The sequence below is a fragment of the Homo sapiens genome, chromosome 4, assembly GCF_000001405.40.
Source record: "Homo sapiens chromosome 4, GRCh38.p14 Primary Assembly".
Classification (NCBI taxonomy): Eukaryota; Metazoa; Chordata; class Mammalia; order Primates; family Hominidae; genus Homo; species Homo sapiens.
In genome coordinates, this window is record NC_000004.12 from 17,171,007 (window position 1) to 17,187,584 (window position 16,578).

General features: G+C 40.2%; 1 long non-coding RNA gene across 1 annotated transcript; it reads right to left on the minus strand.

Annotated features, from left to right (window-relative positions):
• Positions 1-750: 750 nt before the first annotated feature.
• Positions 751-15,051, minus strand: LINC02493 (long intergenic non-protein coding RNA 2493). The gene is made up of 6 exons (NR_125919.1): positions 14,845-15,051; positions 10,846-10,890; positions 4,486-5,579; positions 3,910-4,082; positions 1,127-1,262; positions 751-797 (listed from the first exon to the last, which is right to left on the minus strand). It is a non-coding gene; the product is annotated as a long intergenic non-protein coding RNA 2493 (long non-coding RNA).
• Positions 15,052-16,578: the final 1,527 nt, after the last annotated feature.

Genomic DNA, 16,578 nt, shown 5'->3' on the forward strand with positions numbered 1-16,578 from the left:
TTTTTGATAGAAACAATTTCATACGTTATGACTGGTTTTCTAAATTAACAAACAAGCCTATTTAACTCATAATGAACCAGAAGTAGGTGTTAACACTAATGTGGCAGTATTATAAATACATCGTTTGACCACTTATGATACTGTAACTGGGGAGAAATATATTTTAATTTTTAAGTCAGGCTACTGAGAGCAGATATCCTACTCTGCTTCAGAAAGACACTGCAAATACACCTGGACATGAATTTTTAACTCTCGACAGCTCTATGATTGCAGAAAGAAAGGCATTGTTTCCCATTCTTTGATTCATATAATAAAACAACTGTATATCTGACCATGCATTGGCTGTATGACCTTGGGCAATTTACCTATTCTCTCTGTGCCTCACTTATTGTGAAATTAAGTGAGGTCACTTTTCTGCAAGTAGACATTTGCTGTTTGCCTCACCCACCTTCTACCCCTCTCACAGCTGTTCCCCTGGTTTTCACTGGGTGATAGTCTCTCTCTACCCAGCTCTCATCCACATGGTATGACTGGTGCTCCATTCCCATCCCTAGAGTGGAACACATGGCTTGGGCCTGCCAATCTCAGCTGGCTTCAGGGGTGATTTTAGGGCAACTGCTTTGAGGGTGGTCCACCTTCCTGAGTAGCTCCAGTAGGAGTGAATCTCATAATGTTTTTCCCTGAGAATTCTGGGACAGAAGTCTTTCTCTGCTTGGTCTGCATCAGGAAAGATACAGCTTCAAGAGCACCTGGCGCCATGTTAATTTATTCCAGTGGTTCTGGTGGCTGTCAATGACCTGCAGGGGACATTTGGCAATATGTGGGAACATTTTTGGTTGTCATAACTCTGGGAAAGCTGCTCTTCTCATCTAATGGATAGAGGCTGGGGTGCTGCTAAACATTCTACAACGCATAGGATGGCCCCCCACAACAAAGAATTTTCTGTCCCAAAATGTCAATAGTGCCGAGGTTAAGAAACACTGCTCTGACTGCAGGATTACATCTAACAACCCAAAGAAACAGCTGAGAAGTGGAGGAACGTCAACTCCAGGTGATATTGTTTGAATCCTGGATAGAGTCAATACCTATTTGATTTTTCTGTCACTTACACCCAAAAAAATCTTACCTGACCAAATTGGTAAATATGCAACATACAGTAGACACCCCGTAAGTGGTGGCCTTTTTCATTAAAGGTTATCATCCACGTGATATCCAGGATCAGGGGACTTCGGAATCACAAATGTTAAGGGATCAGATGCTGTCTACATAAGAATTGCATGTTTTAGCTCCCTGCAGCACACATCTGTGCCCTCTACTGTGTCCTCAACACATTCTGCATTTCTGATTTGTACTCAGAAAAAACAAAGATTCCAAAGATAACGCCATTTTTGTATGGAATTTGCAATTTTTCTCTAGTTTATAGCTATCATCAAAAATTTAATGCATCTGATAGGAGATTAAAAAGTTAAAGAAAAGGTTGCAAGATTTCCACAAAATTACTAAATATTTTTCTTAAGTAACTGCCAGGCACTAGTCTCTGGAGAGCTTGATTTACCATAAATGTTTAAAATGAAAATAAAGGAGTTCTGAAAAAAAAAGAGAAACGGCTATTTAAAAATTGCTTCATAAATTAACACATAGGAGTGAAAGAATCTCATTGATATTTATATTCCATATTTTCCTTTCAGCTCTTGCGTGTTTGATTATGTCATGGAAGGGGACTGGATGGTATTGTATTCTAAATTGATTGACAAGAAATTTTAAGATCTTTTTATTTGTTTTTAAGGTTGCCCATTCCCCTAAAGGTGGTTAAAACACATATACAGTATATGCCATTTCACCAACACAAACTAATTATCACATTTTTTGATTTCATAATTCTATAGTCTTAAGGTCATAATTTTCACAGTATTCTCACTCTTTTAACAGTTTGTACATTTTCATTCCTTGGTAAGATATGATATAAATAAGACCATTATTCAGAATGAGAATTTTCTCTACTAACATCATCACCATTTGCAGCATAGAAGACTAAATAAATATCTCCCATGAGTGACTAAATGCAAAATAAAAAGTAACCACTCAACTTTAATAGTTTAAAAAATGTTATTAAACATAATGGCTCCTTGACATTTAAGTAGCACTGTGTTTTAGGTGATCTTCATTTTTGAAGAACTACTTTATTTTCATCTTAAATATTGATGGCAAATCAAGTTCTCCAGAGTGAGAAACCACAGGAGAAAGCTCTTCGGAGAAAATAAATTACCGTGGACTCTGGAGTTCCAAGGTGCTATTTTTTAATTTTGTTTTTGTTTGGTTTTATTTTTGTTTTCTCCTGAGGCTGTGTAATAAAATCATATAAATTAACAACTTGAAAAACTGACAAAACAATCTCATTTCTCAAGATCTTCAATCCTTGCTGGATGCAGTTTTGACCACATTGCCCTGTTCCTCGCTTTAACCTTCAGGGGGAGCCCTGATGTCTGTCAGGGACACCAGAGGAACAAAATGGCCCAGTGGGACCATCACAGAATGAAACTCCCTGAAAGGGAGGAGACAGGCAGGGTAGGGAGGAAGTGGGCAAGTGAAGCCTTCAAAGGAAGCAGTGATCCCGTCGCTTTCTTATCCCTCCGCAGGAGATTAGCACTAGAGTCGAGCTCTGAGGGAAAAGAAAGCATTAGGGAGGCACCAAGTTGCCCAGTCCTAATTCCAGCCCAGAAGTATATGAAGGGCACTTTCAAGGTCTGTCTCTTATCGCACTCCAATTCATCAGGTTAAAAGGGAAACTCCCTGGCTATTACCTATGTGTAGCTGACATCCCAGGTGCTGTATCACAAGAACATGGTGATACATACATGACCAGCAAGGACTCAGGGTGAGTGAAGACATGAGCATAGCTTTAAAATGAGTAACATGGGCAGGGCTCCGTGGCCCACGCCTGTAATCCCAGCACTTTGGGAGGCCGAGGTGGGCGGATCACAAGGTCAGGAGATCAAGACCATCCTGGCTAACATGGTGAAACCCTATCTCTACTAAAAATACAAAAACTGAGCCGAGCGTGGTGGCGGGTGCCTGTAGTCCCAGCTACTCGGGAGGCTGAGGCAGGATAATCACTTGAACCCGGGAGGCAGAGGTTGCAGTGAGCCGAGATGGCACCACTGCTCTCCAGCCTGGGCAACAGTGTGAGATTTCGTCTCAAAAATAATAATAATAATAATAACATGTTTAGTTGATTATTGAATGATGCTAAAAGAAAGATTCTAACCTCTGACTTCACATATTAAGCTCTTCGAGCGCAGGGCCTGGGTCTATCTCATTCTCTACAGTACAAATATAATTCCCAGAGCAGCTACAAAACTCAGCAATCACTTATCTCCAGGAAACAAAATGAAACCACTACTTGCTTAAAGGCTTTGAGCAAAGTAATCCAGCCTTCCTAGGTTTTAGTCTCCTTACTACAAAGAATGTAAGGGATGTAGTAAAGGATTTATCTAGTTCCTAGTAGCCCAATGGGTCTTTAAACTATGCCCTGCTAAGGTTTAAGCCTGGTAATCACAAAACCTGCAGATGTCTGTCCCATGATACGACAACCAACCACCTGGTATATATATCACTTGAGATATATATCTCTCGATATATATATATATATATATATCACTTGATGTCACAATTAGGAAAAATTTAAAAAATGAAGACATTTGTCAAATTAACTATTCCTGTCATAATCAAGAGGAATGCCAAAGCCCACCCCATACCACCTTTAAAGAGAGCTCCATTCTGGCTACCATTCAGGTGGGCTATTTTCATCTTCTTGTAGTCAACAGTATTATTGGTCCTGAGCTCTCAAAGGTTTCATTCTTGACTCACTGAACAGCCATATTTGATATTAAGCAACAGAAATAAACTTACCAAACCATCAAATTCCCACAGAGGATAGTCTCTGTTGAGTAACATGACAGCACAGCCAAAAGATTATGGATTTTGGAGGCTCATCTACAGAGCCTGAGTCCACTAGAATGTTTGACCTTGTTGAACCACAGTCTTCTCTCCTGTAATATGGTGATAGTTCCTGCCTCACTGAACTGTGAAGATAGAATGAAATAATATATGTGAAATGTGTGTCCATAGTTAACAATAAACAGTAGCAACTGTTATTGTTTAAGGCCCGTCACTTACTCTCACATAGAAAAAAAAGAAATTACTTAAGGGATTTTAAAAAGTGTATGATGAGCTCTCTTTGGAAGACAGGAAATAGGAAGATCTGAGAAAAGACTGAATTTAGAATCAGAAAATGTGGAATACCTCCTCTACTTATGGAATATATGATCTTGGGCAAGTCACTTTATCTCTCAGAACAGTTTCCTCATCTGGAAAACAAGATTGATCATGTGTCCCTAGAAAGCATTCTGTAAGTTCTAAAGCACTATTCAAATGTTTGGTGCTAATATCATTATTATAGTGGACAAAACTCAAGGCCATACTTACAACACAGGCTGACAACACTGTGACATTGCTGTTGACAAATGGGAAGGAGTAGCTAAAGATTTGCTACGTTGACATTCTGGAACTGGAGAGAGCGTGTTCATGTTTTAAATTAAGTCTCTCTTTTGGCAATTAAGAAGCAAAGAATCACAATTAAAATTGCAACCAGTTGTAGATTTTCCAGCAGTCTTAGCCTCACCGAGATGGGGTGAAGGAAACTTAACTTGCTTGTATTGTGCTATACGTATTCAGAACCATTTCCTTACATGCAGCCATCAACATCTTTGACTTCAAAAGAGGCTTTTTTTCTGTGATTTCAAAGCATTTTATGTCCATACATGGGTTTAAGAAAATCACATAGCAGAAGACAAAAGAACAAAGCTTCGACAGCAGAAAAATTCATTGTAAGCCCCTTTAAACCATCACACTGAAATGTTCAGTGGAGGAAAGCGAGCTCTTGTGTATACACTGAGTGTATCAAAGGCCACCTCTGAGGTTAGTCAGGAACCTGTCTTCTTCGCAGATGTCAATATTGCCAGAGAGTTTCCAAGAATCCACAAATCACTATTCACAAACCAATCCCCACCAGCTTTGACAAATACTGACATTCCTTAACAAACCAGAGGGAGCTGTGTGGTGCTTTTCAGTGGATGAACGACAAGTGGGGAGGAGTTGATTGTCCACAGGAGAAGCAGTCCGGGCCATAAAGCCTAACCAGTCATTAATCTCCAGGAAATGCCCACAGCCAACGTTGTTATTGCTATTATAAACCAAAAATTAAAAGAAAAAGAGAAAGCATGTCGCTGTTTTTTATGGGTGATACAGTTTCAATTGGCACATATTGAGCATTTCTAGACATTTAATTAAGCAATCAGATTGCTTGAGTGGTCTCAACATTCAGTGCCTTTTATAGAGTTCTTTAATGGCTATGCATAGAATTATTCTGGATACTTCATGGAGCATAGCAAGTGAAGTTTTATGTCTTCCCAAGAATAGAGTGAACTTTTCCACTGCTACTCTAGCTTAAACAAAGACTGTTGTTGTTGTTGTTGTTGTTGTTATTGTTGTTTTGGGGTAGAGTGATTTCAGATTCATGTCTAGAAAAGTATATCCAGAGAATTAGAATAAAGATAATTTACTTAAACCAAAAAGCATTTCACTTTACCTCTTTATAACTTCTTTCACTGAAATGCAATACCAACATCTCTTAAAATAAGGAGAGGCAGCATATTCAGTACTGTTTTCATTTATTCACTCATGCATTTCCTGGATCATAAGGATATAAACAATATCCTTTTAGAACCAAAATATGGTAGCGAACAGAATCCATAAGATCCACATCCACACATCGAGCAGCACAGCACAGTGATTAAGAGGACTGAGACCTTGGACAAATTACTCAACCCCTCTCTACTTCAGATCTTTCCTCATGGGCTCTTGTAAAGACTAAGTGGGCAATACACATGAAAGCACTTAGAACAATGGCCGGCATGTAATGGGAGCTATGTGTTAGCCATCATTACATTCTTATACACAGAAATAAGACAGTATACAAGGGAATAAATCAATAAACATCTTGTTTATAAATAGTGATAAGTGGCACCAAAAATCATTGGAGTAGGGGTGAATTTATCAGGAATTTCTCCTCTGAGAAGTGGCATTTTTGCTTAGCCCTGAATTATCAGAATGTCTCATGATGCAAACTGAGCAGAGGGAGGCAGGGAGCATCCCAGAGAAAGGGAACACCCAGTGCAAAAGGCCTGACAGGGGGATTGAGTTTGGTGTGTTTGAGATAAAAGAAGAAGAGGGTGCTGGAATGTGGTGAGGAAGTGGGGAGTGGCCCAGATAAAGTAACAGAAGTCAGGAACCAAGTCATGTAGGACTTTGTAGATCAAACTAAGGAGGTAAATTTGGTCATGTACAAATTATCACCTGTATTTTCTATAATGCCTTGATAAATATGTCTAGCCATGTACATACAGCTATGAGACTGGCAAAAGTTTAGATATGAACATTCCTAACTAATAAGGAGTTAGATTTTATTTGAAATATAATAAAACCATTGTTAATAGAGGAAGAGAGAGATGTCTGAAAATCAGGTTTTTTTTTTAAAACTGGCTTCAGGGGGTAGGAAGGGAATAAACTGAGTGTGAGGAGAAGCAGAGAAGGAGGAAGAATGAGAACTGGTCTGACCTGTCAAAACTTGTGGATTGTGTGATAATGGCCAGTCCAATTCATGTCACCTTAACTAATTGAACATGCATTTACTGTGTGCCTACAATGTGTGAGGGCCTTGTGCTGGGAAGGTGTCTTAGTCCATTTGAGCTGCTATAACAAAATACCATAGACTTAGTGGCTTGTAAACAGCAGACATTCATTTCTCATTTCTGGAGGCTGGGAAGTCCAAGATCAAGGTGTCAGCCAATCTGATGTCTGGTAAGAGCTCATTCTCCATAGATAGTGCCTTCTCACTGTGTCCTCACATGGAGGAAGGGGCAAGGCAGCTGTCTGGAGTCTCTTCTAAAAGGGGACTAATCCGAATCATGGGGACTCTACCCTCATGACTGAATCACATCTCAAAAGGCTCCACCTCCTAAAACCATCACCTTGGGGGTTAGGATTTTATCTTATGCACTTTAAGGGAGACACATTTACACCATAGGAATGGGAAAAATACAGAGATAAATAAAATAGACATCTGAACTAATAGGGCCTAGATCCAGTGTGGACACTGACAAGGAAGAGTAATAAATGGTTTTACAAGTCCTGTCAATAGAGTCCCCCATAGTAGTCACTACAGAAAATGGTCAAATCTGCTTGAGGGAGAAGAGGACAAGAGGCTTTAGAAAGGATGTGACACTATAGGTGAGCCTTGAAATGCAAACAAGTGGCAATGGAAATTCTCTTCAGAAGTTACAGAGTGAACAGGGAAATGGAGGTGTGAACCCACCTGTTGAGTCGGGAACTGCAGGTTGATGAGTGTAGTCGAGACATAGGCAACTTGATCAGGGTGATAAGAGGTCCCAAAGGAGAGGAGAGCATGGGTTAAATCTGGAAGGGTCTTGAATAACCCATGAAAGCGTGTGTTCTCCACCCTGTCTGTCTTACCATGTGCATTGGGAGCTAGTGAAAGGAATCATGTTTAGAAAGATTGTCCTTGGCCAGCTCCATGATGGATTAGAATAAGGAAGACTGGCAGAGGGATAAAGAAGAGAAGAGTTACTGAAAGCCAGATGAAGGCAGTAGCTGTGGAGACAGAGAGATGGAAATAGAGCACAGAGATGTTAAGGGAAGAGAACCAGTGGACTTAATCTGTAACTGGATTTGCAAGAAATCTCATTGGCTCCTATGTAAACTTATTTCTGAATGAATGAATATCTCCAATTGAATGATTGAGTAGGTGATTCTGCCACTTATCAAGCATTATGCAAGCCATGGAAAAGTGGACAATAATATATAGAGGAGACAGCTACAGATAGATGTGTGTGAGAGACAGAAAGTCTATATAGGAGATATAATCCTTCCCTCAACTGCCACCTATCATCTTTTGAGGTTCTGGAGGGATCCATATGTATAACAGAGGTATTGATGTCAAAGTTTTAGTTAGATTGGCAGACTTTGGAAGGTGAGACAGATGGTGCAGAATCAGGAAGATTTCTTCAGCCTAGACGAGGCAGAACAACAGCCTCTCTCTGATTTCCTTGCATAGGAAGGAAGGGCTCCTCTCCCCATGCAGGAAGATGCATCTAGCCACCACCATATGACCTCCTCAGATATTTGGAAAGGACCAGTCAGAAAGCAGAAAAGGGTGTGGAGGTCACAGCCAAAAAAGAGAGATGGCCAGGTCTTCCCCTAAGCAGGAACAGTCCCAGTCCCCCAGCACTGTCTTGGCCGCTGGTAGGAAGAGGATCTAAAATAAAGGGAATCCAAATATGGACACCAAAACAATAACCTCACCCCTTGGAACTATAGAGCATTGAAAAGAACTTTGAGCCAGATATAGCTATAATAATATTACTAATATTACCTAATGATACTATTCTAGGGCATTCCCTGGAGTTAGAAGGGGTGGGACAAAGGACTGGGTAAAATGGCCAAGAGAGATATGTGAGTTTCCTTTAGGTAACAACAAATAACTTGGGCATATTTTGAAGGGAAAATAACCTTTCATCTTCACCTTTTTAACAATAAACATGTTTGTAAATAGTGATAAATAGTATCAAAAAATAAAACAGTGTAATGTGATTGGAGTAGTAATTATATTTTAATGTAATCATCTGTGAAATGAATGGGTTTTCCTGCATGACTTCTAAGTTTCTGGGTCTCTACATTTCCATGATTCCAAGGGGCTTTATATTTTACTGGACACAAAATTCACAACAGAGAACTCAAAACCAGAGAAATCTGGTCACATGCAAAGTTGCAACTGTGATTTCTACTTTGCCTCAGCCTTTATGAATATGTCTGACCATGTATGTACAACTACGTAACTATGAAGCTTAGATTTCAACATTCTCAATGTCTAAAGATGACTATTTGTATTTTAAAAAGAAGATAACTATGTTTCCAGACTCAACAAAAATTATTAAGTGCTCTAGTCTTCTAGGCAATCAAGCCAAGAAATCGGGAGTGAAAAATTCTTTGCTACTTCCTGTGTGAAAACACTTAGTTCAATGCCCTGCATGAGTAGACGCTCCACACATGTGTTAGTAGTGAAAGAATGAACCACTCTTTCTTCTTTGTTCCTGCAGAGATTTGCTTGATTCTGTTTTAAATGCTTATTCCATTCTTCCTGGTAATAAAATGGGTTGTCTCCATGTATCTAATAGACTGTAAGATTCTTGAGGAACAAGGGGTATGCATAAGTAATCTTTGCTCTTTCACAGCACCTTGTAGCAAAATTGACTTTTGAAAAAATTCTCCTTCTTCAATAAAATAAAAGTGGGTCCTCCTGTGTTGTCCCTGGAATGAGGGGGGGCAGCTGCACACTGAGAGAGACTGTGGTCTGCATTGATCACTGAGTCCCTCCAGGAGCCACTTCTCTGTGGCTAAGAGCACTTGGTGTAAGCTCTGAGGTCTCAGAAGGAACTAGAGCTTGGGGTCGCTGTTGATCAAAACTCCATATTTGCTAATCTTGGGGAGAAGAGGGTAGAGGAGGAGGAAGGCTGTTGCCATTATCACTGTGGACCTTTGGTCAAATCAGAGGCAGCCATAGTTTTACTCCCGTGTCCCTCATAACAACATTTTGGTCAATGATGGACCGCATATAAGACGGTGGTTCCATAAGATTATAATGGAGAAATGGAGATAAAAAATTCTTATTGCCTAGTGACACTGCAGCCACTGTATATCATTACTCATGTGTTTGTGGTGATGTTGATGTAAACAAACCAGTCATATGAAAGGCTAACACGTACAGTTTTGTACAGTACATATTACTTGATAATGATAAAAAATAACTATGTTACTGGTTTATGTATTTACTACGTTATACTTTTTTTTTTTTTTTTGAGACAGAGTCTTGTTCTGTTGCCCAGGCTGGAGTGCTGTGGTGCGATCTCAGCTCACTGCAAGCTCCGCCTCCCGGGTTCACGCCATTCTCCTGCCTCAGCCTCCCGAGTAGCTGGGACTACAGGCGCCCGCCACCACGCCCAGTTAATTTTTTGTATTTTTAGTAGAGACGGGGTTTCACTGTGTTAGCCAGGATGGCCTCGATCTCCTGAGCTCGTGATTCACCCACCTCGGCCTCCCAAAGTGCTGGGATTACAGGCGTGAGCCACCACACCCGGCCTGTTATACTTTTTATTATTATTTTAGAGTGTACTCCTTCTACTTATTAAAAAAAAGGGGGGGGACTGTAAAATAGCCTCTGGCGGTCCATCAGGAAGTCTTCCAGAAGAAGGCATTGTTATCATAGGAGATGACAGCTCCATGTGTGTTACTGCTCCGGAGAACTGTCCAGTAGGACAAGATATGGAGGTGGGAGACCTTGATATTGATGATCCTGACCCTGTGGAGGTCTAGGCTAATGTGTGTGTTTGTGTCTTCGTTTTTAAAAACTTTTTAGTAATAAAAAATTAAAAAATAGAAAAAAGCTTATAGAATAAGAATATAAAGAAAGAAAATGTATTTGTACATCTATACGATGTGTGTTTTAAGTTATTTTGTGTATTACCAATGAGTCAAAATGTTTTTAAAAATTAAAAGTTTCTAAGGTAAAAAAAGGTAAGGTTAATTTATTATTAAAGAAAATGCTTCTATAAATTTAGTGTAGCTTAGGTGTACAGTGTTTATAAAGTCTATAGTACTGTCTAGAAATGTCCTAAACTTTACCCTTCACTCAGCACTCATTTACTGACTCACCCAGAGCAACTTCCAGTCCTTCAAGCTCCATTCATGGTAAGCACCCTATAAAGGCATACCATTTTTTATTAATATCTTTTATACCATTTTTTTACTGTACTTTTATGTTTATGTTTAGATACACACATACTTATCATTGCATTGCAGTTCCCTGCAGCATTCAGTACAGTGACATACTGAACATGTTTGTAGCCTATAAGCAACAGGTTATGCCTAGATGAATAGTAGGCTATACCACTTAGGTTTGTGAAAGTACTCTATGATGTCTGCACAATGATGAACTTGCCTAACTATACATTTCTCAGAACATATCCCTATTGTCAAGAAGTGCATAACTATACATGAGAGGTTCTAGAGTTCTGTTTTTTTTTGTTGTTGTTGTTGTTTTGTTTTTTTTTTTTGGTTTTTTTTTTTGAGATAGAGTCTCACTCTGTTGCCCAGGCTGGAGTGCTGTGGCGCGATCTCAGCTCACTGCAAGCTCCGCCTCCCGGGTTCACGCCATTCTCCTGCCTCAGCCTCCCGAGTAGCTGGGACTACAGGCACCCGCCACAACGCCCAGCTAATTTTTTGTATTTTTAGTAGAGACGGGGTTTCACCGTGTTAGCCAGGATGGTCTCGATCTCCTTACCTTGTGATCTGCCCGCCTCGGCCTCCCAAAGTGCTGGGATTACAGGTGTGAGCCACCGTGCCCAGCCTAGAGTTCTGTTTTAACATGAGGACACCAATAAAGTCCAGAGACAAGATGGCTTAGTATTAGAGATCCAAAGACTCATTTAAATCCAGCTATGCCAGTGAGTGACCTTGGGAAAGTCACCGCCACCCATTCTGGCCCTGGGCTTCGGTTTGTGCTTCTGTAAAATGAGGGGATTGAATCAGTCAGAGGTTTTCAAATTTCTTCCTGAGCAGCAGAATCCTTGATATACACCATTGACTCAAGTGGAGTCTCTCAGGTTGAGTTGGTGGGCCCTTAATTCTTCCCCCCAATTAGGCTGCTTTCTCACCTCCAAGGCAATCTGGGGCTCCAAGGAAGGGAGTTTTGGTGCCCCTCCAACCATGGCATTTCCAACATGCCTTCGGGGACACTGATACAATAAGCCCCTTGCTTGCACAGCTGCACACCATTTACAAAGAGCTTTCCCCCAACCCCCTTTCGCTTAATCTGACATCCGATCATTTAAAGTAGATCAAAAGTGAGAAGCAGTTACATTTCCAGCTTTTAATGCCACAGAGTGTGGACAGCACAGAAGGTTCAGCAGCCAGCATGTTCTAAAACATTAAGATGAATTTTGGAATCCTCAAGCCAGCCAGGCTGCTGGCACTTTACAAATGTTTAAACAAATTCACTTGTCTGTTCTTGTTTCCTACTAACGTAAGAATAAATGCCTTTTTTTTAACATTACTATGCAAATTAGATCAGAGATCATTGTGGCTAGATAACTATAATAGTAGCAGCTAATACACATAGTCTAGAAAAAGTTTATTCAATGAGACCACATTTTTCATATTCTAAAATAACTTGCATTTTCATATAAGTAATACATGTTAATGATAGACCAAAGACAAAAATTAGCAAAAAAAAAAAAAATTATTCATAATTGCACAAACCAGAGATAACTGCTCTTCACATGTGAGTGCACACATCCTTATCTTCATGTAAAATGTAAATGTTTTCACTAAAATAGTGAAATACACAATATTGTGTATATACTTTTTAATCTGCTTTTTTCACTCAGCAGAATATTTATGATCATCACATCAGGTCAAAGAGTACATTGCAGCAACACCAATTGTTTGCTTGTTTTTTAATAGGAATATGGTTTTCCACCTATTGAATTCATGATAACTGTCATGTAGTCAAATAATCACCTATTGTTGAAAATACTGGTGATTTCCAGTTTTTTCCTGTTGCTATATGCTTGCAGCCAAATCTTTGCCTTACTTGAGGAAATGCTGGATCACAGTGTATGCAAATTTCTTTTAAAAATTTCAATACATTGAGTATTAAAGTGTTGTACCAATTTTATCCTCACCATCAATATGAAAGTAACCATTTCCCTTCACTCTCTTAAAAATTGGATAGTGTCACTCTCTGTATTTTTTTAAACCAGGCTTTAATGTCAAAGGAAAAAAAAAAACTTCTAGGAGATATACCTAATGCTAAATGACGAATTAATGGGTGCAGCACACCAACATGGCACATGTATACATATGTAACAAACCTGCACATTGTGCACACGTACACTAAAACTTAAAGTATAATATAAATAAAAAGAAAAAAAAAACTTCAGCTTTTGCATTCTTCCAAACTCAAAACCAAGGCTGCTTAGTCTTCACGTCTTTTCTTTGGGTTCTATGCTCCTTTACTAGTCTGTAGCAATGTAAGGGACACTAGGCCAATGGCTCAAGGATTTAACACCAAATCCAGTTGTGCTGATGATCTTATTTGCCTCCTACCACTCTCTGCAATTGAGCTATGAGCTTAAGCATTCATCTGAGATCCAACTTTGACCAATGGCTCCCTTAGCTTATTTCCTGGTGGCAAATCCTCTGAGGATCTATGTGGGTTGAATAGTGGTCCCTCAAAACATACGTTTATGCAAAACCATGAATGTGACATTATTTGGAAAACAGTCTTTGCAGATATAATAAAGCTAAGAATCTTGAGATGAGATCATCCTGGATTAGGATGGACCCTAAGTCCAATGACAAGTATAGAGAAAAGAAGGAGAGAAGACACAGAACGAAGAGGAGAACACACAGAGCTGAAATCCAGGGAAGACAGGCAGAGATTAGATTTTTGCAGCCAGAAGCCAAGGAACACCTGGAACCACAGAATCTGGAAGAGGTAAGGAAGGACTTACGAGAAAAAAATTACTGTTGTTTTTAGCCACCAAGTTTCTGGTGATACTGCAGCCCTATGAAAGTAATGTAAGACCCTACAAAAAAGTTCTATTCTGAGTGTTTCTCAGTCACTTAAAAATCCTGGTGACCAGCTCTATGACACTTGCCTATAAAGAGGATTTTTAAGTGACTAAGAAACACTCAGAATAGAACCTACTTAGACTTTATCCTATTCATTAGGCAAACATTTATTGAGCACCTACAATATAGCAGGCCTTCTTGTGGGTACTGGGTAAAAACAAAACTGAAGAAGACATAATCCTGTAACAGACAAACAAATACCTACTGTGCAACCTACAGGGCGACTGTAGGCAGAGAGAGTGGGTTGTGGCCATGTCATAGAGTACCATATTGACAGAGTTAAAATCTTCGCCTTTATCCTGTATATAATGGAGTACTTTAGAGGGTTTTAGGCAATTATTACCCACATCCCCAGGCTCCTCTGATACTAAACTTCTCTGACATCTACTCCAGGGCCAGCCTGGACATCTGCCTGTGACCTGCAGTGGGACTCTCCTGGTTTTACATCTGCCTGCCCTGACTTGCTCTATGACCACACTAAGTTCCTGCTACTGTTCATTCTCCAGGCCTCCATAGTCACAGTCACTGCCCCAGAGTAAACAGCTAGTCCGGTTCTGGCCTCACCTGATTCACCAACTGAGCCCAGGTGCACTACATTATTATTTATTTATTTTTTGAGATGGAGTCTCGCCCTGTTGCCCAGGCTAGAGTGCAATGCCGCAATCTCGGCTCACTGCAACCTCTGCCTCCTGGGTTCAAGCGATTCTCCTGCCTCAGCCTCCTGAGTAGCTGGGATTACAGGCGCCTGCCGCCACACCCAGCTAAGTTTTGTATTTTTAGTAGAGACAGGGTTTCACCACATTGGCCAGGCTGCTCTCGAACTCCTGACCTCGCGATCCACCCACCTCGGCCTCCCCAAGTGCTAGGATTATAGGCATGAGCCACCATGCCTGACCAGTGTGCTACATTATTAATTTATTCATTCATTCGAGAATTATATGCTTACTATCTACTATTTTCCAGTCCCTGCTTGTACAAAAATGGGTAATATTCAGTCTTTGCCCTTAAGATGCTTACCATCAAAATGTCTACCTAATAGTCTCCTCAGGCTGCCATCACAAAATGCCACAAACTTGGTAACCTAAACGACAGAAATTTATCTTTTCACACTTCTGAAAGTCAGAAGTCTAAGATAACAGTGCCAGAAGAGTTAGTGTCTGATGAGGTCTTGAGTTGTAGATGGCTGCCTTCTCCCTGGGCCCCTATATGGCCTTTTTTGTGCACTCAAACTCCAGTTCTCTTCCCCTCCTTATAAGGACATTAGTTCTATTGGATTAGGGTTCTACCCTTATGACCTCATTTAACCTTAATTACCACCTTAAAGGCTGTGTCTCCAAACATAATTCCATTGAGGATTAGGGCTTCAACGTATGAATTTAGGGGTTTGGGAGCATGGTGGGGACACAATTCATTCCATAACACCATCTAAGTGGAAAAGGCAAATATGTACACATAATTGCCATGTGATGAAACAAATAACATAAAGGTATTGGGTATTTCTGTGGTGAAGCATCTAACCTATCTAGATGGATCTTTAAAGAAGACATAGTTACTTAGGTGGACCAGATGGAGCAGGGAAACCCAGGCAGAGAGAACAGTTTTTGTAAAATGCAAACATGAAACAACATGATCTGTTGAGTAGATGGCAAGTAATTCAGGATGGCTGAGATAGACAGAGAGTGGCTTAGGGTATCATGAAGACAAGACTCAAAAAGCATGCCATGTCCTCATGGAAGCCCACCCCACTCTTCTCATCTTCTGCCACAACCTTTTTTCCCATGCTGTAGTCACTGTGTGTTCCTTCCTCACCCCAATCAAAATATTATATCCTCTGCCTCAGTCCTAGACACATTTAAAATAATAGCCTCTTATATTTTGCATAGTACTTTACAGTTTACAAAACACCTTTACTATATCATTTGACCCTCATAGCTGCCCAGTAGAGAACAAATATTATATCAATATATACAGTGAAACCAATATTCAAATAGTAATCATAATAATAGACTTGCCCAAGATCAGAGGACTGTGCTATGGTTATTTTATGGGTAGAACCCAGACCTCTGCCTGGCGATCTAGTGTTCTCTCTTTGACACTACCTGCATTTTTCTCTGCTGTTTGCTTCTTGTGCTGTAATTCTCCGGTAACGCTTCTACATTTTGACAGAGCTTTCTGGAAATAATGTGTTAACCAACAGAAAAAGCTCAGAGTGGGAATGTTGGGCCTGGCAAGATATTTTTTTGGCCTGGCAGGCCTGTCAAAGCCCATCGAATCACACATTTGCCTCACAAAGGGCCAACCCAGAGCAAAGCCCATGGGGACACTTCGCCGAGAGGAGCAAATTAAAGCACTTCCAAGTCAGGAAATGCCAAGCTAGACTTTTCTATGGTGTTAACTTGCTGGCCCAAAGTACACCAAACAGTAATTTACCTACAGCCTAGCTGCAGAAAATTCCTACCCAGCCTAGCTGGAGGTAAATCCTTCTCTGACTGTACTTTTGTCAGCGTTGCCAAGGCAACAACTCTCACCACTCTCTGGTCATTTTTAGTTTCAATGACAAAGTTTGCGTTGACTTAGCTGTAAGTCTGATGCAGAAAACTTTTACTCACTGGAATGCATGAGGAATGGGTTCCCTAAGTTTTCAACAAATCTGAGACTACATTGTCCCTTAAAAATATTTGTCCACCATTTTGGATAGTAACTTCTCTAAGATTCTTCTCTCATATCTATGTCTTCCTCATACAATCTATA